This window comes from Homo sapiens, chromosome 14 (genome assembly GCF_000001405.40).
Source record: "Homo sapiens chromosome 14, GRCh38.p14 Primary Assembly".
Lineage (NCBI taxonomy): Eukaryota > Metazoa > Chordata > Mammalia > Primates > Hominidae > Homo > Homo sapiens.
This window is the reverse complement of record NC_000014.9, coordinates 91,218,547-91,239,266: the sequence shown is the minus strand read 5'-3', so window position 1 is coordinate 91,239,266 and position 20,720 is coordinate 91,218,547. Positions and strand designations below refer to the sequence as shown.

The 20,720-nt window shown below is 50.6% G+C and overlaps 2 protein-coding genes across 23 annotated transcripts in view, besides 5 other annotated features; one reads left to right on the top strand and one right to left on the bottom strand.

Moving 5' to 3' along the window:
- The window catches only part of GPR68 (G protein-coupled receptor 68), a 38,259-nt gene extending 31,524 nt beyond the window's left edge, over positions 1-6,735 (top strand). For 10 of the 12 annotated variants that reach the window (XM_047431792.1, XM_005268112.4, XM_047431790.1 and 7 more), the window contains one exon: positions 4,088-6,735. In XM_047431792.1, the coding sequence (XP_047287748.1) occupies positions 4,187-5,314 (1,128 nt within the window). In that variant the 5' untranslated portion in view covers positions 4,088-4,186 and the 3' untranslated portion in view covers positions 5,315-6,735. Of the gene's footprint in view, positions 1-1,681; positions 1,987-4,087 lie in introns of those variants that run through there. The other 2 variants (NM_001348437.1, XM_011537199.3) reach the window with 2 other exon arrangements.
- Positions 9,434-9,483: an enhancer, noted in NCBI's record as "active region_8899". NCBI's record gives its function as "activates an Ori minimal core promoter by ATAC-STARR-seq in GM12878 lymphoblastoid cells {active_cell/tissue: GM12878}" and the evidence as "EXISTENCE:reporter gene assay evidence [ECO:0000049][PMID:35858748]".
- Positions 10,031-10,120: an enhancer, noted in NCBI's record as "active region_8898". NCBI's record gives its function as "activates an Ori minimal core promoter by ATAC-STARR-seq in GM12878 lymphoblastoid cells {active_cell/tissue: GM12878}" and the evidence as "EXISTENCE:reporter gene assay evidence [ECO:0000049][PMID:35858748]".
- Positions 10,181-10,500: an enhancer, noted in NCBI's record as "active region_8897". NCBI's record gives its function as "activates an Ori minimal core promoter by ATAC-STARR-seq in GM12878 lymphoblastoid cells {active_cell/tissue: GM12878}" and the evidence as "EXISTENCE:reporter gene assay evidence [ECO:0000049][PMID:35858748]".
- Positions 10,531-10,810: an enhancer, noted in NCBI's record as "active region_8896". NCBI's record gives its function as "activates an Ori minimal core promoter by ATAC-STARR-seq in GM12878 lymphoblastoid cells {active_cell/tissue: GM12878}" and the evidence as "EXISTENCE:reporter gene assay evidence [ECO:0000049][PMID:35858748]".
- Positions 10,821-10,880: an enhancer, noted in NCBI's record as "active region_8895". NCBI's record gives its function as "activates an Ori minimal core promoter by ATAC-STARR-seq in GM12878 lymphoblastoid cells {active_cell/tissue: GM12878}" and the evidence as "EXISTENCE:reporter gene assay evidence [ECO:0000049][PMID:35858748]".
- The window catches only part of DGLUCY (D-glutamate cyclase), a 165,300-nt gene continuing 158,214 nt past the window's right edge, over positions 13,635-20,720 (bottom strand). For 9 of the 11 annotated variants that reach the window (NM_001358312.2, NM_001358310.2, NM_001358311.2 and 6 more), the window contains one exon: positions 13,635-14,583. In NM_001358312.2, coding sequence (NP_001345241.1) covers positions 14,434-14,583 — 150 coding nt within the window. In that variant the 3' untranslated portion in view covers positions 13,635-14,433. The remainder of the gene's footprint in view (positions 14,584-20,720) is intronic. The other 2 variants (NM_001102367.2, NM_001286471.1) reach the window with 1 other exon arrangement.

The window sequence follows — 20,720 nt, the reverse complement described above, 5'->3', positions numbered from 1 at the left end:
TAGGGCATGCACTCAGGAGCTGAACCCTGGACCTTCCAGACTCTCCTAGCACCTTGCTACTCAAAGTGTGGTCCATGGGCTGGCAGCATCCGCATCACCTGGCAGCTTGTTTGAAATGTAAAATTCCTGAGCCCCAGCCCAGACTCACTGAGTCTGAAACTCTGGAGGTGAGGCTTAGCGATCTGTCATAACAAATTCCCCAGGGGATTCTGAAGCACCTAAGTTCAAGCACTGCAGCATTAGAATACCAAAACCCTCTTTTCTCTCCAAAATGAACGTAGGAGGTGCTTTCATCTAAACGGAGTAAATGTTTCTTTTTTGTTCTTTAGGCTTGAATGTTTCTGACTTTAGTTGCCAGAATTAGCTTATTGTTGGCCTAGGGAAGAGGAAGCACCACCCTACATGTATATACACCCACCACTCGTAAACTATAGCCTGATGACGCTCAGTGAATTTCCAAGATGACTGGTTGTGTTTTCATGGGGGCTTCATTTGCCATTTGGGGGGAGCCTGGGGGCCTGTGCTTTTATGAATGGATTTTATCTTCCTGCGGGCAGATTTTGTGTGGACTGTGGAGAATCTGAAGTAAATTCGGAAAACGGAACGGCCCTGGATAGGGGACCATTTGGGGACACGAGCTGCAGTGGATTTCCTCATATGTAAGCCTGGCAAAGGATTTGGCCCCACAGGTGTGAGCTTGCAATTCAGGGACAGGAGGGCTGGCAAGAGGAGGGTGACTAGGGCTGAATTCTGATTCATTGGGCTGTGGGAAGAGTTTTGGGATCACGGACTTCAGCTGTTCCTTCTCCCCTTTTTCTCACCACCAAAACATACAAATGAAAACAAACAAACAAACAAACAAACCCCAAACCCACCGTTGTGTATTGCTGGTGGAAATGTAAGATGGTGCAGCCACTATGGAAAACGGTAGGGTGGTTCCTCAAAAAATTAAAAATAGAACTAACATATGATCCAGCAGTTCCAATTCTGAGTATATACCCAAAAGAACTGAAAGTGGGAACTTGAACAGATCTTTGTTCACTCATGTTCTTAGCAGCTTCATTCACAATAGCCAAAAGATAAAAACAATCCCAATGTCCATCAATGCATGGATAAACCAAATGTGGGCTGTGCATACCGTGGACTATTATTCAGCCTTAAAAAGGCAGGAAATTCTGACATGTGCTACAACATAGATGAATCTTGAAGACATTATACTAAGTCAAATAAGCCAGACACAAAAGGACAAATACGGTCTGATTCCATTTATATGAGGTACCTAGAATAGTCAAGTTCATAGAGACAGAAATGGTGGTTGCTGGGGGCTGGGGAGTTATTAATTTTGCAAGATGAAAAGAGTTCTGGAGATGGAGGGTGGTGATGGTTGCACAACAGTGTTGATATACTTAATGCATTTGAAAGTGGCTAAAATGGGCCGGGTGCGGTGGCTCATGCCTCTAATCCCAGCACCTTGGGAGGCCGAGGTGAGTGGATCACCTGAGATGGGGAGTTCGAGGCCAGCCTGACCAACATGGAGAAACCCCGTCTCTACTAAAAATACAAAATTAGCCGGGCATGGTGGCACATGCCTGTAATCCAACTACTCAGGAGGCTGAGGCAGGAGACTCGCTTGAACTTGGGAGGCGGAGGTTGCGGTGAGCCGAGATTGCGCCACTGCACTCTAGCCTGGGTAACAAGAGTAAAACTCCATCTAAAAAAAAAAAAGTGGCTAAAATGGTAAATGTTACTTTATGTGTGTTTTACCACAACGAAAACAAGAAGCAACTCCCTCCACCACCACCACTGGAATTCTAGGCCAGTGCCCTGAAGAGGATGGAAGAGGTGAGTCAGAGACTGGGAGTCCCTGTTTTCTGGGAACTGAGAGGTTGAGAGCTGAGTCTCAGGCAGAGACTGTACGTGGCAGGGATGTGGAGCAAGGAGACCTGGATTCTAGCAGCAACGCTTCCAACCTCAGGCTGGCTTCAGGCAAGTCACTTGCCCTTTAGAACCATAGTTTCCTCACCTGGAAGGTGGGAAGTGTCGTTCACCTATTCATCCAAGAAGTTCTTTTTTGTTTTTGAGACGGAGTCTTGCTCTGTTACTCAGGCCGGGGTGCAGTGGCATGATCTCAGCTCACTGCAACCTCTGCCTCCCAGGTTCAAGTGATTCTCATGCCTCAGCCTCCTGAGTAGCTGGGACTACAGGTGCCCGCCATAAAACCTGGCTAATTTTTGAATTTTTAGTAGAGACGGGGTTTCATCATGTTGGCCAGGCTGGTCTCGAACTCCTGACCTCAGGTGATCCACCTGCCTCTTCCTCCCAAAGTGCTGGGATTACAGGTGTGAGCCACTGCGCCCAACCAAAACATTGTATTGTATCTTGCTCAAACTTATTCATATATCTGGAATCTTCTTTGTTAAATTCTCAATAAGAACTTCTTTTTTTTGAGATGGAGTCTCACTCTGTCGCCCAGGTTGGAGTGCAGTGCTGCGATCTCGGCTTACCGCAAGCTCTGCCTCCCAGGTTCAAGTGATTCTCATGCCTTAGCCTCCCGAGTAAGCTGGGATTACAGGAGCCCGCCAGCATGCCCAGCTAATTTTCAGTAGAGACAGAGTTTTGCCACATTGGCCAGGGTGGTCTCAAACTCCTGACCTTAAGTGATCTGCCCACCTCAGCCTCCCAAAATGCTGGGATTATGGGTGTGAGCCACTGCACCCAGCCAATAAATAGGAACTTTTCACTAATTCCAGTAAGATTATAATCTCCTACTCCTCCTCTTTGCTTCTGGAAAAACAATGCCCTGTGTTTGCATACCCATCATTTGATCTGGCCCTGACACTGATCCCCAAGGGCAGGTGTTTTTATCTCCATTTGACAGGTGAGGAAACCTAGGCTGAGACAAGGTAAGTGACTTGCAGTCTGTATGTGGCTGGCCCTGGCTTGGCGCTCATGTCCTGGAGCCTTGGTCCAGAGCATTCCCGGAGCTCCATGGAGGAGAGGAGAGGTAGCTGGATGAACACCCAGGAGTCCAGGCTGTGCTTGCGGGAAACTGGGTTTTTGTTTCTTGCCAGAACGCGGTAAAATGTGGACAAGGTTGGGCCTCTTCTGATGCTATCTGGAGAGGTCCCCATGGGGGGCAGTGGCCTCAGTGTAAATGGACTTAAGTAGTACATTCCTGTGAGCAAGTAGGACAAATGTGAATGCCGCCTATTGCTGTGGATGAAGGTGGCCGGTGCTGTCACGTGTGGGTTAGAACTGATCTTTGCCCCAAGTCTCCCTGGGAGAGCAGGCTCAGGGTAGGCACATGCTCATAAGAACCTCTAGCCTTACTTGCTACACCAAGGGAGCAGGAAAATATATAAAGGATAGGCAATAAATAGGCAAAGCCAGGGAATGGGAAGGGGAGACGTAAGCTACCCTGCAGCATCTTGGTATGTGACCCATTCGGATATATTCTTTTTTTTTTTTTTTTCTATTGACACAGAGTCTCCCCGTCACTCAGGCTGGAGTAGAGTGGCACGATCTTGGGTCACTGCAACCTCCGCCTCCCAGGTTCAAATGAATCTCCTGCTTCAGCCTCCCGAGTAGCTGGGATTACAGGTGCATGCCACCATGCCCAGCTAATTTTTGTATTTTTAGTAGAGACAGGGTTTTGCCATGTTGGCCAGGATGGTCTCGAACTCCTGACCTCAAGTGATCTGCCCACCTTGGCCTCCCAAAGTGCTGGGAATACAGGTGTGAGCCACCTCGCCTGGGGCTCCCATTCAGATCTATTCTTCTTGTTATTTATTTATTTATTTATTTATTTATTTATTTATTTATTTATTTATAGAGACAAGGGCTTGCCATGTTACCCAGGCTGGTCTTGAACTCTTGAGCTCGAGCGATCCCCACCTCCCAAAGTGCTGGGCTTACAGGTGTAAGCCATCATGTCCAGCCGTTCAGATATTCTAGTTGAATTGGAGTTGGTGGGCTAGTACACCTTCTAAATTAAATGAGTAAAGGATTTAGAATGGTGCCTGACACACAGTAGGTGCTACATTCATGTTAGCTACTATTATAAACCTTTCCTGCCTCTGACTTTCAGGGTCTTGCCCACCACCAGCGATGCCCAGCCCTTGGTAGAGCTTGAACCACCTTCTATAAACAGGATGGCGGTGGAGAGACAGGCCCAGTCCCTGAGCCCATGAGGAGTGTGGCCCCTTCAGGCCCAAAGATGGGGAACATCACTGCAGACAACTCCTCGATGAGCTGTACCATCGACCATACCATCCACCAGACGCTGGCCCCGGTGGTCTATGTTACCGTGCTGGTGGTGGGCTTCCCGGCCAACTGCCTGTCCCTCTACTTCGGCTACCTGCAGATCAAGGCCCGGAACGAGCTGGGCGTGTACCTGTGCAACCTGACGGTGGCCGACCTCTTCTACATCTGCTCGCTGCCCTTCTGGCTGCAGTACGTGCTGCAGCACGACAACTGGTCTCACGGCGACCTGTCCTGCCAGGTGTGCGGCATCCTCCTGTACGAGAACATCTACATCAGCGTGGGCTTCCTCTGCTGCATCTCCGTGGACCGCTACCTGGCTGTGGCCCATCCCTTCCGCTTCCACCAGTTCCGGACCCTGAAGGCGGCCGTCGGCGTCAGCGTGGTCATCTGGGCCAAGGAGCTGCTGACCAGCATCTACTTCCTGATGCACGAGGAGGTCATCGAGGACGAGAACCAGCACCGCGTGTGCTTTGAGCACTACCCCATCCAGGCATGGCAGCGCGCCATCAACTACTACCGCTTCCTGGTGGGCTTCCTCTTCCCCATCTGCCTGCTGCTGGCGTCCTACCAGGGCATCCTGCGCGCCGTGCGCCGGAGCCACGGCACCCAGAAGAGCCGCAAGGACCAGATCCAGCGGCTGGTGCTCAGCACCGTGGTCATCTTCCTGGCCTGCTTCCTGCCCTACCACGTGTTGCTGCTGGTGCGCAGCGTCTGGGAGGCCAGCTGCGACTTCGCCAAGGGCGTTTTCAACGCCTACCACTTCTCCCTCCTGCTCACCAGCTTCAACTGCGTCGCCGACCCCGTGCTCTACTGCTTCGTCAGCGAGACCACCCACCGGGACCTGGCCCGCCTCCGCGGGGCCTGCCTGGCCTTCCTCACCTGCTCCAGGACCGGCCGGGCCAGGGAGGCCTACCCGCTGGGTGCCCCCGAGGCCTCCGGGAAAAGCGGGGCCCAGGGTGAGGAGCCCGAGCTGTTGACCAAGCTCCACCCGGCCTTCCAGACCCCTAACTCGCCAGGGTCGGGCGGGTTCCCCACGGGCAGGTTGGCCTAGCCTGGGTCCTCCGCGGGTGGCTCCACGTGAGGCCTGAGCCTTCAGCCCACGGGCCTCAGGGCCTGCCGCCTCCTGCTTCCCTCGCTGCGGAGGCAGGGAAGCCCCTGTAACTCCGGAAGCCTGCTCTCGCTTGCTGAGCCCGCTGGGACCGCCGAGGGTGGGAATAAGCCCCGGTTGGCTCGTGGGAATAAGCCGTGTCCTCTGCCGCGGCTGCGATGTGGCCAGGCTGGGGCTGCTGGTCGGGGGAAGACAGTGAACTGCGTTCCCTGGCCTGCTTCCTGCAGAGTTTGTGCATGGGGAGTGTGAGGACATGGAGGGTGGGAGGCTGGGCGTTCAGCTGCCAGGGCCTTCCAATGCCACCGTTGTCACAGACAATGCCTGTCCAAACGTCCCGGTGGGATCAGCACTGCAGCCCGCCCACAACAGGGTGGGAAGGGAAGACTGGAGGGGGAAGGAAGGCAGGAGGGGGAAGGAAGAAAGAGGGGGAAGGAAAGAAAGAGGGGGGAAGGAAAGGAGGAAGGGGAGAAGGAAGGGAGGAGGAAAGAAGGAAGGTAGGGGGTGTTGGGTTGGGAGAATTGAGGGAGTTATAGGCAGAGGAGGATCCTAGCTCCAGCCATAAGAACTGGGAGAGCCGCCTGCTGCTCCAGAAGACCTGCCCACCTCCACAGAAATGCTAGCCCTTCAGACCTTCTGGTCAGTGAACTGGGACCAGCTCTGACTAAGGATGCCTTCCATGGCCTGGGACTCGAGTTCTTCAGAACCAAGAGGCTAACTGGGCTTCCTCCAAGAAGGGACCAGGGGCTAGAAGCAGAAGTTGGCATCAGCAAACATTTCTGGAATCTACCAAAGGGAGGCCCAGGCAGAACCCCTTCCTCAGTCTCCCTTCCCCTCTTCCCCCCAGCCTTGAAGAGGTTGATCCTTTGTGCTGTGTCTCTTAGCCCTTTCATCGGGGATGCCCAGAGGCAACAGCCCAGGCTGGAGGTGCCCCAGGGAAGGGTGCTCACAGTGGTCCCAGGGCTACACTTGGCTTTGACTGCACAGCCCCTGCTCAGATCCTTGTGGAGGGTGTCCGATGACTTGGGGAGGTTCTCTTCCCCTTCCTAGAGGAGGAAGTGACCAAGTTTGAAGGCGGCAGAAATGGCCACACAGCCAAGAAGAGCCCATGCAACTCAGTCCAGGATTTTACTGGGTCAGTGACATTGGTGGAAGCCTTCATGCCTCCTCATTCCACAGCACTTCCTCCTATGTTGACCTTAAACACTGGCTTCCCACTGATACAGACTGGGATGAGCTGAGGGCAGTCTCATTTACTGTCAAGAGTTGTATTTTTGTATTGTCCTTTTTGCCAAGTCTACATGTGTTGACTCTGTAATGGATTTATGTAGCCCACTTCAGTCTGCAAATAAAGCAAAGTAACTGGACACCTTGGGAGTATGCTGCAGTCCTTATGGGGTAAGGGAGTCTTCAACACCAGGGGGTCTTGAGGGCCCTTGAAGAACCAAAGGAGTCAGGAAAGGGCAGAGGTTGACCTTCTCAGGGCAAACTCAAGCAGAGCGATTAGGGGATTTGCACTTGATTACCCAGCAAATGGTCAAGAAAGACACAGCCCTTGAGTGAAGTAGAGCCTTCTCTCCCTCCACTTGAGATTCATGAAGTGCCACCCAGTTCTTCAGTGTGGTGTTGCAAATTCGCTCTGTGGTTTAACTTGGCTAACTCCCTTTTGAGGACAGAGCCCAGTCATGTGGTTTGGAGAATATCACCCACTCTGTCCTTGGCCACATAACCCCTTGTACCTGCTGGGTAGCTGCTCCCCACAGTGAGGGAGGGCTCCATCAGACCACCCCCTCCTCACTAGAGAAGAAGGGCCTGTTGCATTCATCTCTGTGGGGCTGTCCTCAGTGACGGGGCTTTGTTTGGAGAGGCCCACATTTGCTGACCTGCCTCTTTAGGCTGGAGCATCTTCTCAACAGTGGCATATGCCATGTTTATCACTGAGGATTAACTGCATCATATTAAAATGTAAATTTGATCTTGGTCACTTAATCCCTCTCTGGGTCAGGCTCCTAGAGTCCTGGAGTGTTCCAGAAGAGTAGATCCTTCTTCTAAACAGATTAAGTAAGGACAATATTGGGGATTATGACTCCTTTCTCTCCTGAGAGGATGGGTGGAAGAAAAAGTCCATCTGGTTTGGAAGGTGACAGAAGCCATTAGGATTTATTTCTTATTCACCAGAGTTGTTTAGTCAGATGAGGGCTCATCTTCCTGTTTACACACAGGGCTCATCTTCCTGTTACACACACTGGTCTGTGGGTTGGCCAGACAAGAGTGGGAGAAATTTTCGGCACGAAATACATCCCCATCTGCTGCTTTCCTCTGGCTGGTCCAACCAAAAGAGAGCCAAACTCTGACCCTCTTGGCTCGTTGCTTTTCTGAAAAAGCCACTTCTTGTAGCTGGTGATCCTGAAGCCTCCATCCCTGGAATTCATCTGGCAAGACAGTAGTCTCTGATGATACTATGATTTGAATGTCCCCTCCAAAACGCATGCTGAAATTTAATTGCCATTGTAACTATGCGAAGAGGTGGGACCTTTAAGAGGTATTAGGTCATGGGTTAATGCTGTTATGGTGGGAGAGAGTTTGTTATTGGGGGAGTTCAGCCCCCTTTTTTCCTCTCTTCAGAACTTGCTTGCTTTTCTGCTTTCTGCCAGGAGATGACCCTGCCAGATGCTGGCACCATGCTCTTGGACTTCCCAGTCTCTAGACCCATAAGCCAAAGAAATGTCTGTTCTTTATAAATAACCTAGTCCGTGGTATTCTGTTATAGCCATAGAAAATGGGCTAAGACAGATGGCCTTAATCCTGAGGTTATAATGGTGCCCAGTACTCTGGGGAAATGTTGGGATTTCAATCCCATTTGCTTTAATTCAACAACTTTCAGAAGAATACTGCTAAATTACATGTTAGATATTAGTGCTGGCATATACCAGAGAGGTCATAATATTCAGTTCCCTCTCCATGAAGTCTCCCCTCTGCATTCCCCAAAAACGATAGTCCAGTCTGTCTACAAACAAACACCACCAATGACAACTCACTACTACTCAAGATGACTAATTTCAGGGTCGGGCAGAAAATTTCATGCAAAGTCCAACGAGAGGCTGCTTTCTGGCAAGTCTTTCCCAAAGTGATGGCAGTGATTCAGGATCCTCCCATCACCAGAGTCCATCATCTTGGGGTCTTCCCTTTTCACCCACACAGGTAAGGGGATGCAGCAAAAAGAGAATCTCACAGGGGTTTTTGGCCAAGTGTGGAAATGGCGGATATCCCTGCTACTTACATTCCATTGGTCAGATCCCAGGCATGTGGCCTCAACCTAACTGCAAGGGAGGCTGGGAAAGGTAGTTTTCCTATGGATGCAGGAAAGAGAGGCAGAATTGGTGAGTATCTGGCCAGTCTCTGACAGGCAGCTCTTCAAGCCACCTCAACTTAACAGGTTTTTTGTTTTGTTTTGAAACAGAGCCTTGCTCTGTCACCCAGGCTGGAGTGCAGTGGCACAGTCTTGGCTCATTGCAACCTCTGCTTCTCAAGTTCAACCAATTCTCCTGCCTCAGCCTCCCAAGTAGCTGGGATTACAGGCGTGTGCCACCACAGCCAGCTAATTTTCGTATTTTTAGTAGAGAAGAGGGTTTCACCATGTTGGCCAGGCTGGTCTCAAACTCCTGGCCTCAAGTGATCCACCTGCCTTGGCCTCCCCAGGATTACAGGCATAAGCCACCACATCCAGCCCTAAACTTAAGAGGTTTTAAGCACCCACCCCTCTGTACCTTCCTCTAAACAAAATCCACTTCTTCAAATGCGATGCCTGGAATGTGAAGTGAGAGCAAGTCTGTCTGACCTGCCCCATGGAGAACAGGCCCATTTTCCTCTCTGCTTCTTTACTTCTGGTGAGAAATCTTATTGCTGACACACATTGAGTTTATGTGAATTGCTGGTAAGCCACATCCTCCTCTCCACCTTGCCTAGAGGAAGTGGTTTTTCGAATCTGAGTTAGACCTCATCGTGCAGCCAGTGGAAGCCACAGGGAGTGGGCAGGATGTAGCAGAATGCAGTGGGCTGGACCAAGTCGGGGCTGGTGGTCAGCAAAGCCCGTGCAATGAGGGGCAAGGAACAACCTCAGAGGAATGCCTTTCCCTGCTGAGTGACGGAGGGGCCAGAGGACCTCCAGGGGACTAAGGAGCCCTGACCTGCTTAGCTGGCTCACTTGTCTTTGATCCATCTCCTGCAGGGTCTGTGTGGCTCATTCTCCCCTCAAGGTGCCAAGGTCTCCAGCCTGCCCTTGTTATCCATGGAGCATCCTATGCACTGTTCACCAGGATTACCTCCCCTCAATGTTCTTGGAAATGCCCAGTGATGCTCCTATGTCCCACAAATCCATTCTGGTTGGCACCAGGCCCATATCTCGCCTTAAATCACCCCATCATTCCCTGCATGTCATCTCCTATCTCCCTGTAACTAGCTTCTGCAGGCTGCAGCCACACTCACCATGGCCACCCCATGGATACAGGTGCTTCCTCAAAGCACAGTCAAGGCTAGGATAAAAGAGGAAAGCTGAGCAAAACTACTAAAGGTCTGAGCAGGAATCCTACAGTGGAATGGACAAGCATCAAAACTGGATCCTGGAATGCAGAGCTCCTGTGGTCCTTGGGCTGGGCCCTGCTAAGGGGTCTTCTCCCTTGCATCAGAGCCCCTGATGTTGGACCACAGGCCTGCCTCTCCCTGTAGCGGGGTCAGGGGTTTGGATGTGTCACTGAGTCTAGGACCCTTATTCTCAGCTTTCTCTGGGCTCAACCTGGTGTCAGCCTCTTTACCAAACAACTGAAATCCTCTCCCCATGAATTTCTGCCCACAGTGAAGACAACCCATTACATGGTTATGCCTCAGACTCCTCCATGCCAGAAGAGAACCCTGCTGTTACTACTGCAAAACCAAAGACCCATTTGTGTCTTCCCCCAAAACATGAGTCAGAAGCGTGCTGGCAGCTTTACCATGGTGAGGGCTTCTCTCTTCTAGCCATCAAGATTGCAGAAACGTCGGGGTACAATCTCAATCAGAGGCCCTCGCTACATGGAACTCTGCAGTCCCAAATCAGGGACAAAAATCCTAATTGGAGGACATGTGGTCAGGGAGGCTGCAGAGCTGAGGTGGCTTCACTGAGCCGTGAGATGCCGCAGATCCCCATGTGGCTGAGTTCTCAGGATGCTGGAGGTGTCAGCCCTGCTGCCGCACCAGCACTGAGCACAGCCCCTGCCTGTGGGAACTCCCCTAGAATGACAAAGGGAGACCTGGAGAGCCCCAGCCCCAGCAACTTCCGCCCAGGGCTGCATCATGCCCCTGCATAGGGAGAACTGAAGTCAGTCCCAGAACCACTGTGCTACATCCTCACGCTTAACTGCTGTGTGTACAATGCGGGGTTCATTTCTACCCTCTGTGTTCTATTCTCACAACTGTTGCTCCTTAAAGAATGAAACTAGACCTGTTTAAGGAAATGAATGAAAATTAAGCAGGTTCAACAAACATTTGGGGCCATGGCTGCGAAGCTGGACTCCCCTGATCTGGGTGAGTCAGCCGTCACTCAGCAGTGCAACCAGCACAGGATATTGTAAGAGTGTAATGGGACACGGTCAGTGACTCAGTTTCTAATGTTGTTGGGCACTGTGCAGTGGGAGCTTGTGAAAGAGATAAGGGCAAGTGACTGGAGTTGTTCAGGAGGACTCTGAGCCGCCTGAGCACTGGAGAGGCCTGACCCACCCACAGGGTGAGGCTGCCCTCCTATGCAAGAGGTTAAAGGGTCTGGGCTCAGGGGGTGCAGGGGAGCAGACAGAGAGGAGGTGGAATAGTGTTAGGGGTGAGGTGAGGGGCAGCAATGGTGATAAATGTTAGGCTCTTCAAAGGACCTTTTGCCTTAGTAAACAAAATGCTGTTCTTTTGCCTTAGTAAACAAAATGCTGTTTGGAAAAAAAAGCATTTCAAAGGTATAAATATTTTGGTGGTGGTAGGAGTAAATCTTCTGTAAAACCCAAGAACTTTGTAAATATATATTCCACATTTGCACATTTTACCATTTTCTTTTTTTCCTTTTTTGAGACTAGCTCTTGCTCTGTCACCCATGCTGGAGTGCAGTGGTGTGATCACAGCTCACTGCAGCCTCGAACTCCCAGGCTCCAGTGATCCTCCCACCTTAGCCCCATGAGTAGCTGGGACTACCGGAGCATACCACCATGCCTGGCAAATTTTAAAAACTTTTTTTGTAGAGATGGGATTTCACTATGTTGTCCAAGCTGGTCTCAAACTTCTGGGCTCAAGGGATCCTCCTGCCTTGGCCTCCCAAAGTGTTGAGATCACAGGTGTGAGCCACCATGCACGGCTGCCTGACTATGCCCTAATGATAACAGTACCCCCTCATCCACGTGGAGTATGTTCCAAGATCCCCAGTGGATAGTACTGAACTCGACTGCTGTCAGTTGGAACACGTTTCTGTTCACGTCTTCCACCCACACATGTAATGCCTTTTCCATCTTAACTGATCACTTACCACACATTGTGGCCAGAACTTTTGCAGCTTGAGGTTTGACAACAAAACTAGCACATATCTCTTTTTCCTTCTCAATTCTTTTTTTTTTCTTTTTTGTTTTGAGACAGAGACTCGCTCTGTCACCCAGGCTGGAGTGCAGTGGCGCAATCTGGGCTTACTGCAACCTCCATCTCCCAGTTTCAAGCGATTCTCCCACCTCAGTCTCCCGAGTAGCTGGATTATAGACGCCCACTACCACGCCCGGCTAATTTTTTCTATTTTTGGTAGAGACGGGGTTTTGCCATGTTGCCCAGGCCAGTCTTAAACTCCTGAGCTCAAGTGATCTGCCCTCCTCGGCCTCCCAAAGTGCTGGGAATACTTATAGGCATGAGCCACCATGCCCAGCCTCCTTCTCAATTTCATGGATAGAAAATTCATTCTTACCATAGAGCTTAGTAGCCTCAATATATGAACTTGTTCTTTATTAAGTCAAGAACTTTCACCTTTTCGGGTAAATATATATACAGTATGCTTACCTAGTCCTCCATGCCCGTGCAGCAATATGGAGAGGAAGGGAATTCCTAACTTCCGAGGGAACACCTATCAAACATCAGGAAGCCATTAGGAGATTATTATTGGCTGTACAGAAACCTAAAGAGGTGGCAGTCTTACACTGCCGGGGTCACCAGAAAGGAAAGGAAAGGGAAATAGAAAGGAACCACCAAGCGGATATTGAAGCCAAAAGAGCCACAAGGCAGGACCCTCCATTAGAAATGCTTATAGAAGGAGCCCTAGTATAGGGTAATCCCCTCCAGGAAACCAAGCCCCAGTACTCAGAAGAAATAGAATGGGGAACCTCACGAGGACATAGTTTCCTCCCCTCAGAATGGCCAGCCACCGAAGAAGGAAAAATACTTATGCCTGCAGCTAACCAATGGAAATTACTTAAAACCCTTCACCATATCTTTCTCTTAGGCATTAATAGCACCCATCAGATGGTCAAATTATTATTTACTAGACCAGGCCTTTTCAAAACTATCAAGCAGATAGTCAAGGCCTGTGAAGTGTGCCAAAGAAATAATCCCCTGCACTGCAGCCCATACATTTCAATCCCTTTATCTTTAACCTCCTTGTTAAGTTTGTCTCTTCCAGAATCAAAGCTGTAAAACTACAAATAGTTCTTCAAATGGAGCCCCAGATGCAGTCCATGACTAAGATCTACCATGGACCCCTGGACCGGCCTGCTAGCCCATGCTCCGATGTTGATGACATCGAAGGCACCCCTCCCGAGGAAATCTCAACTGCACAACCCCTACTACGCCCCAATTCAGCAGGAAGCAGTTAGAGCAGTTGTCAGCCAACCTCCCCAACAGCACTTGGGTTTTCCTGTTGAGAGGGGGTACTGAGAGACAGGACTAGCTGGATTTCCTAGGCCAACTAAGAATCCCTAAGCCTAGCTGGGAAGGTGACCACATCCACCTTTAAACACAGGGCTTGCAACTTAGCTCACACCCGACCAATCAGAGAGCTCACTAAAATGCTAATTAGGCAAAAACAGGAGGTAAAGAAATAGCCAATCATCTATCGCCTGAGAGCACAGCAGGAGGGACAATGATCGGGATATAAACCCAGGCATTCGAGCCAGCAATGGCTACCCTCTTTGGGTCCCCTCCCTTTGTATGGGAGCTCAGTTTTCACTCTATTAAATCTTGCAACTGCAAAAACAAACAAACAAAAAAAAAGACTTTCACCTTTTCACTTAAAGGAAGCCCTTTATGGCCTCTTTTTGGCATATCCAAATTGCCAGCATCTCTGCTCTTGCACTTTGAGGACATTACTGAGTCACATAAGAGGTTCTTGAATATAAGCACTGCAATACCATGACAGTCGATCTGATCACCTGCTGGGTGACTGGCAGGCGGGTGGTGTAGACAGCACGGGTACCCTGGACAAAGGGAGGATTCACGTCCTAGGTAGGATGGAGCAGGATGGTGTGAGATTTCATCACGATATTCCGAAGAGTACACAATTTAAAACTTAAGAGTTGTTTATTTCTGAAATTTTTCATTTAGTATTTTCGGTCTGCAGTTGGCTATGAGTAACTGAAACCATGAGTAACAGAAACCATGGATGGGGGAGGATGACTGGAGTCTGGAGTATCCTATCCTACATGGCCTGGGAATGTTTGTTCTCATGCTCTGCCTGGCAGTTAATTGTTCACAAGTGTCCCCATAAGTAACTGTCGAGAAGATTCTCACAGGAGACCACGTGGGTTGCCTGAAGAAGCCAGAGTGAAGGAGGGTTGAAATCAACGCCTTTAGAGTCTTAGGAATAAAAGTTAAAAAGCCCCAGAGAAATGTTGTCCTTTGTCCACAGCACCTGCACTAACCCCTCCCAGAAAGTGGGCATGCAGTTTCCCAGGCCAGGCGAGTGTTCGTTGCTCACCGAAGACCAGTGTTTACTAGCAGGATTGTCGCCAGAAGCAGCTGCATTCTCCCCGGATGCAGACCTGCCCGTTGGTAGGGACTCTGCTCACACGGAACATGGACGGTTACACCTGTGCCGTGGTGACGTCCACCAGCTTCTGGATCATCTCGGCGTGGGTGTTGTGGAAGGGCAGCCCATCCACCTCCATGCCCACGATGCCCGAGACGCCACTCCGGACTTTGTGCTGCACCAAGATGCCCAGCATTTTTTCTTCCTGGAAAAAAATAGGGCAGAAATAGAAGGAGTGGAGGGGGAGGAAAAAGAAATTTCTTTTATACACATTTATAAGTGAGAAGGATCCTTTGCCTTGACATACTTGCTTTTTAAAAAAGTAAAATTTTGGTTTAAAGTACTAATACCATTGGAAAAGTCATGAAAAGTAAGTGTCCTCCATCACAGCTCATTGGCCCCCAAATCTACTCCCCAGAAACAATCACGGGAATAGTTTGGGCTGCTTCTTTTGGTAGTTACTGTTATGTAACTAAATAATATGCTTTAATGGAAACATAGTTTCTTAGTTTGATTGTCCGTTTTTAGAGATGGGGTCTTGCTATGTTGCCCAGACTGGTATTGAACTCCTGGCCTCAAGTGATTCTTCTGTCTCAGTCTCCTGACTAGCTGGGACTATAGGTGCACATCACTGTGCCCGGCCAGCCTGCATTTCCTTAACCAACACTGAAGATTCACTCCTCCTGCAGGTGCAGTGCAGGCTATTTCCTGCCAATAAGTTCCTCCCAGCCCTGGATTATCTGCCAATAGTCTTTGTGCCAAAGGCCCCCATTTCTCCTGAGACCTCTTAGCCTAATGTGGGGCATGTGTCAAATCCTGCTGCTGTTGCCTTCTAGAAATGACCAGGGTGACTGTGGGAGTGGGAGCATCTAGGTGTAGCAGAGTCACAGAGAATACAAGCCCCCATCCTGAAGCCGCAGCCCGGGGCCTAGCAGGCAGAGTGGTTTGGGGATCAGAAAGGTCTGACTTGAGTCTTTCCTGGCAGGAATTTTAACTGTTCTGTGCCTTAGTGTGCTTATCTGTAAAATGGGGAGGGTGATGATAAAAGTACTCATCATGCCTCCTTTAGAGGGTTGTTCTGAGGATTACGTACAAGCAAAGCACTTAGCAGGGTCCTTGGCACACAACAGGCATTCACAAAATGAGGTTGATTTTATTGGCAGGGCTAGGTCTTCTGGCCTTTAGCCTAGAGCTTTCTCCCTTTGCTCTCCTGCTGGTTAAAAAAAAAAAAAGTGGTTTGATCCTCCTCCATCCCCCCTCCTTCCAAAAATAAAATCCCAAAGCACCACTTGCCCAAGCCACTAATGTGTCTGTCCCTAGTGAACAGCTCAGGTTCCCCTAAGGACAGTGAGCCTTAAGTGAAGGCATAAAGCAACTCAAACACATCCTTCCCTCTTCTTCTTCTTCCTCCTCCTCCTCTTCCTTCTCCCTGTCTTCTTCCTCCTCCACAACAAAGGCAGGAGGTGAGAGGAGGGGACCTAAGGAATCTAGAATAGGACATTAGGGCGGCTATAAGAAGGCTCTCTCCCTGCTCAGGCATTTGCTCATTCATCCCACCATTGATCAAAGGTTTATTGAACACCTGCTAAGTATGTGTCAGGCCCTGAACCAGGGATACAGTGGTGAATGTGACATGGTTCCTGCCCCCATGGGGTTCACAGTCTAGATGAGTAATCAGGTAGTCATAGTACAGGATGTCACAGCACAGAGCAGGGGCACCCAACCCAGCTTATTGGCATGGTTCAGGGAACATTTTCTGGAGGCAGGGTGTTATGGACTCAATATGTACCCTCAAATTTTGTATGTTGAACCTAATCCTCAATTGTTGGAATTTGAAAGTGGGGTCTTTGGGAGGTAATAAGATTGAGATGAGGTCATGAGTGAGGGTCAGGATGTGAAGTGCTCTTATAAGAAAAAGAGAAACCAGAGCTCTCGCTCTCTCCACCACATGCGGACTCAGCAAGAAGGCGGCCATCTGTAAGCCAGGAAGAGAGTCCCCACCAGTGAATCAAAACTACTGGCACCTTGATGTTGGACTTCCCAATCTCTAGAACTGTGAGAACTAAATTTCTGTTGTTCAAGCCACCTAGTCTATAGTTGTTTTTTAAAATAGCAGCTTGAGCTACGACAAGGGGCAACTAGGATCAGAGGTGATGAAAGAATAAAAATGAGCCAGCTGAGAGCCCTGGAGGGTCACTCACTAACTTTTTCTAAGTAATAGAGAAAGCATTGGCAAATGTTAACTGCAAACTGTCTCTTCACAGCTGGCCTGAGAGCCTGCATTTCTGTTCTGCCCTGGGGGCCAAGAAGGATGTTCCTCTGTAGGAGGGAGGCCCTAAATTGTTTCCACTTTCACATGTGTCCTTTGTCCAACAGCTCCTTCTCAGGAGCTACCCACTCAGAATGGCATTTCCCGCCCTTTGTTTGGGCTTCTTCCTCTCGCTTCTCTTCTCCACTGGTCATATCCTCTCTTTATGGGGGAATGTTTCTGGGACTCCTGGGGCCATTTCCTCACAGCACACTGTTTCCCTCACCATTCTCATCCTTCTGGGCCCCAGGAAGGGCTGTGGGGTCCTCAGGGTGCACGCAATCAGCCAACAGGTTTCGAGCTGACTGGCACCCAGCCTCCAAGAGACACAGGGACCAGCTGGGCCAACAGCTACTCCCTGCAAATTTCCAAGAATCACGGAATGACCATGCCATCTTCTAAGAGGCAGAGGTGGTAACAGTGGCAGAGAATTACCAGGGAGCAGCTGGAGGGCAGGGCGCCTGAAGGCCACTGCACCAGTCCAGGCTGAGACAACAGGGCAGGAGAGGAGGAATGGAGGACCCAAGTGAGGGAGAGTAGACAGGGCTTGGATGGGGACAGAGGCCCCAGGGTGGCTGAGTGTGTGGATGCTGAGTGTGTAGAGGCTGAGTGTATGGGTGCTTGCTATTAAGTCACACTGGGAGCACGGTGGGCAGGTATTTATGGGAGGTGATGATGCCGCTCAAAGTGGGGTGCCTTCTGGGAAGTTGGAACTGTTTTGTGTCTTAATCTTGGTGGTGGTTGCAAGGGTGTATACTTATGTAAAAATTCATCCAACTGTACACTTAAGGTGTACACACTTTATTGTATGTTAATTATACTTTAACAAAAATAAGTTATAAAGAATAGTAGGGTGAATGAAAGTGCTGAAAGAGAATGGGAGCCCAGAATGAGGCCCGAGGCTGTTCCTGCCTCTCTGCATCACCCATCCATCAAAGCATTCATCCTTCCATCTGCTCACCCATCTATCCATCCATCCATGCATGCATCCATCTATGCATCCATCTATTATCCATCCATCCCTCCATCCCTCCATCCACCCACCTACCCAACCATCTATCCATCCACTATCCATCCATCCATGCATCCATCCATTATCCACGCATCCCTCCATCCACCCATACATCCATCACCCATCCATCCATGCATCCATCCATCTATTATCCATCCATCCCTCCATCCACCCATCCATCTATCCATCCATCCATGCATCCATCATCTCTCCATCCAACATTTCCTGAGTGCCTTCCCTGGGCCAGGCTCTGAAGTAGGGACAAATAAGTCATCATTTGTTCCTCCAAGAGCTCTCACTCTTTGGCCCCTCACTCCCTACCTACCACTGGGCATGTGAATAACAGGGTCCTCTTCTGTTTCCCCAAACCACATGGCTGCTATGCCCTGGGCTGATGGCATATTCCACATCCATGTCACCATGGGTGCTCAGTACCTGCCCTGGAGCAGAGATGGAGCAGAGAGGGGCTGGGAGCCTGGCCAGAGCCCTCAGGCAGCTCCCTCCAGCCTCCACTTCAAGGCAGTGATGCAAAACAGGCCCAGCTGCTGTGTTCCTCTTCCCCAAGTACTGGGTTGAGGTGGGGGAAGTCCAGGAAACCTTTCCTGGTGTTTGTTTATACCATGAGCCCCACGTTTCCTTAGCCTCTTTCCTGCCCAGGCATCAGCTTCCTGGCATTGGCTTGCCCACTCCCAGGGAGTGCCTCTTCTTTGTGATCTCTTGTAAAGGGCTGGCATGAAATGGGCTGGGATGTGAGACAAGGCACTCCCTTGGCCCTGGGCTCTGGCACAGGCAATGACGAGGCAGGCGGGAACATGGTGCTGAGGCTTCCCGTAGAGCAAGATGGGGCTGGTATAATCATGGTCTCATCTTGCAATAGGCAGGGGAGAGCTGGCTGCCTGGACCGGGCTGGGGAGTGTGGCAGCGGGAGAAACGGCTCCATCTGCCTCCCAGCCACACGGGGAAAGACAGACAGTCCCACATGACGCCACATGGCATCTGGAGGCCCCAGCTCTGTCTTGGCCTTCACCTCCTTCTGCTCTGGCTGTGGGAGCTCTCCTTGGCATAGGCCACCTGCTGCCACCATCAAGCCTGGCTCAGGGACACCCTGACACCTGCCCCAGCCTGACTGAAAGTAAAGAAAGGACCTTGTCATGATAAGAAGGATGATGATGATGATGATAATGACGGTTGGCATTTATTGAACACTTGCTATTAATCCATGCCAGATACTATGCCAGGTGCTTTACACAAAGGGACTCATTCCATCTTCCAATCACCCAAAAAGTAGATCTGTTACGGCCCCACTCGAGGAGACCGAGGAATGCTGAGGTCGGAGACTTGCTCCAGGCTGAAGTGGGCGGAGCCAGGGCTTGAACCAGGCAGCCGGCCAGGGCCTGCGACCTTCCTAACCACCCACTTCACTCACCCAAGGCAGGCCCGATGTTTTTACAAAGGACTTGGTCCTAGGAAACAGAGAAGTCCACAAACTACAGAAATACAGGGAAGAGAGTGGCCCTAACCCAGACCAGCATCCAGGCACAGCCGGCCTGGCTGGCTGCTGTCTGAGGCCTCCATCGGGCTGAGGGGAAGATGCCATGAGGGGGCTTCCCGAGGCCTCATCCTTGGAGGCCTTCAGTCCCTCCTAGGGACCCACCCCCTGCCCAGAGCTCTGTCACCCTGCCAAATTGCAGCACCTTGGCCCCCAAGCTGAGGAAGACCAAGTTCTCCACCTCCTGAGCTCCAAGTCCTCCTTATCAGACCTTGCAGGTACCCCTGTAAAGTGTCATCAAGTGGCTCTTGGCCCTTGATGACGTCTTAGGAATGCTTGCCCTCAAGTACAACCCAAGGGCCTCTCCCTCACTTTAAGGTGCCCCTGGGCCAAGGGCCAGAGTGGGCAGGGTGTGCCCAGGTAGTGATGTCCACCTTATCTGGCCTCCTCAGCATAGTGCCTGCTTCTACCACACTCACAGTGAGATCCTTAAGAACCCCTGTCCCCAGATGCAACTCACTGAGCAGAGCTGTGGGACATTTCTCTGCCCCAACCAATCAAGCTTTTCCACTAGCTCAGGCCACAGCTCTGCCCAGCATCTCTGGATGACTCAAGGACCCCCACGTAGTGACCTGCAGAACTCTAGTGTGACGATTCTAGCTATTTCCTCTGCACACTGTACGGCTTCATGTCCCTGTACCTTTGCTTATGTGGGTTCTGCGGCCTAGAAGGCCTTTTCCACCCTTCCTTACCTGGCTACTTATATCCTACTCACTCCTCAAGACAGCTCAGTGCCAGTGCCACCTCCTCCAGGCAGCCTTCACTGAACTTGCTGAGCTAAGCACTGTTTTCTGTGCTCCCACAGAAGCTTTTTTCAAAATTTTTTTTTCTTTTTTTTTTGAGACAGAGCCTCACTCTGTCACCCAGGCTGGAGTGCAGTGGTGTCATCATGGCTCACTGCAACCTCCGCCTCCCGAGTTTAAGTGATTCTCATGTCTCAGCCTCTCGAACAGCTGGGACTACAGGCGCCCGCCACCACGCCTGGCTAATTTTTGTATTTTCAGTAGAGATGGGGTTTCACCATATTGGCCAGGCTGGTCTCGAACTCCTGGCCTCAAGTGATCTGCCCGCCTCAGCCTCCCAAAGTTCTGGGAATACAGGTGAGAGCCACCATGCCCGGCCTCTCACTGAAGCTTACTGTGCACATTCCATCTTGGCTCCTGAAATTGCCTGTCATGTGTCGTCTCCCCAGTGGACCCTGAGTCCCCCACCCAGGGTGACTCCTCATTGTCCCCTAGAGCAAGCCTGGGCCTGGCCCAGGGGCGGGGCTCAACAAACATGTGTTTGTACTTTTGCTTTTAAAAAATCCCCATTTTAGGCCAGGTGTGGTGGCTCACGCCTGTAATCTCAGCACTTTGGGAGGCTGAGGCAGGCGGATCACTTGAAGTCAGGAGTTCAAGACCAGCCTGGCCAACATGGTGAAACCCCGTCACCATTAAAAATACAAAAATTAGCCGGGTGTGGTGGTGCGCG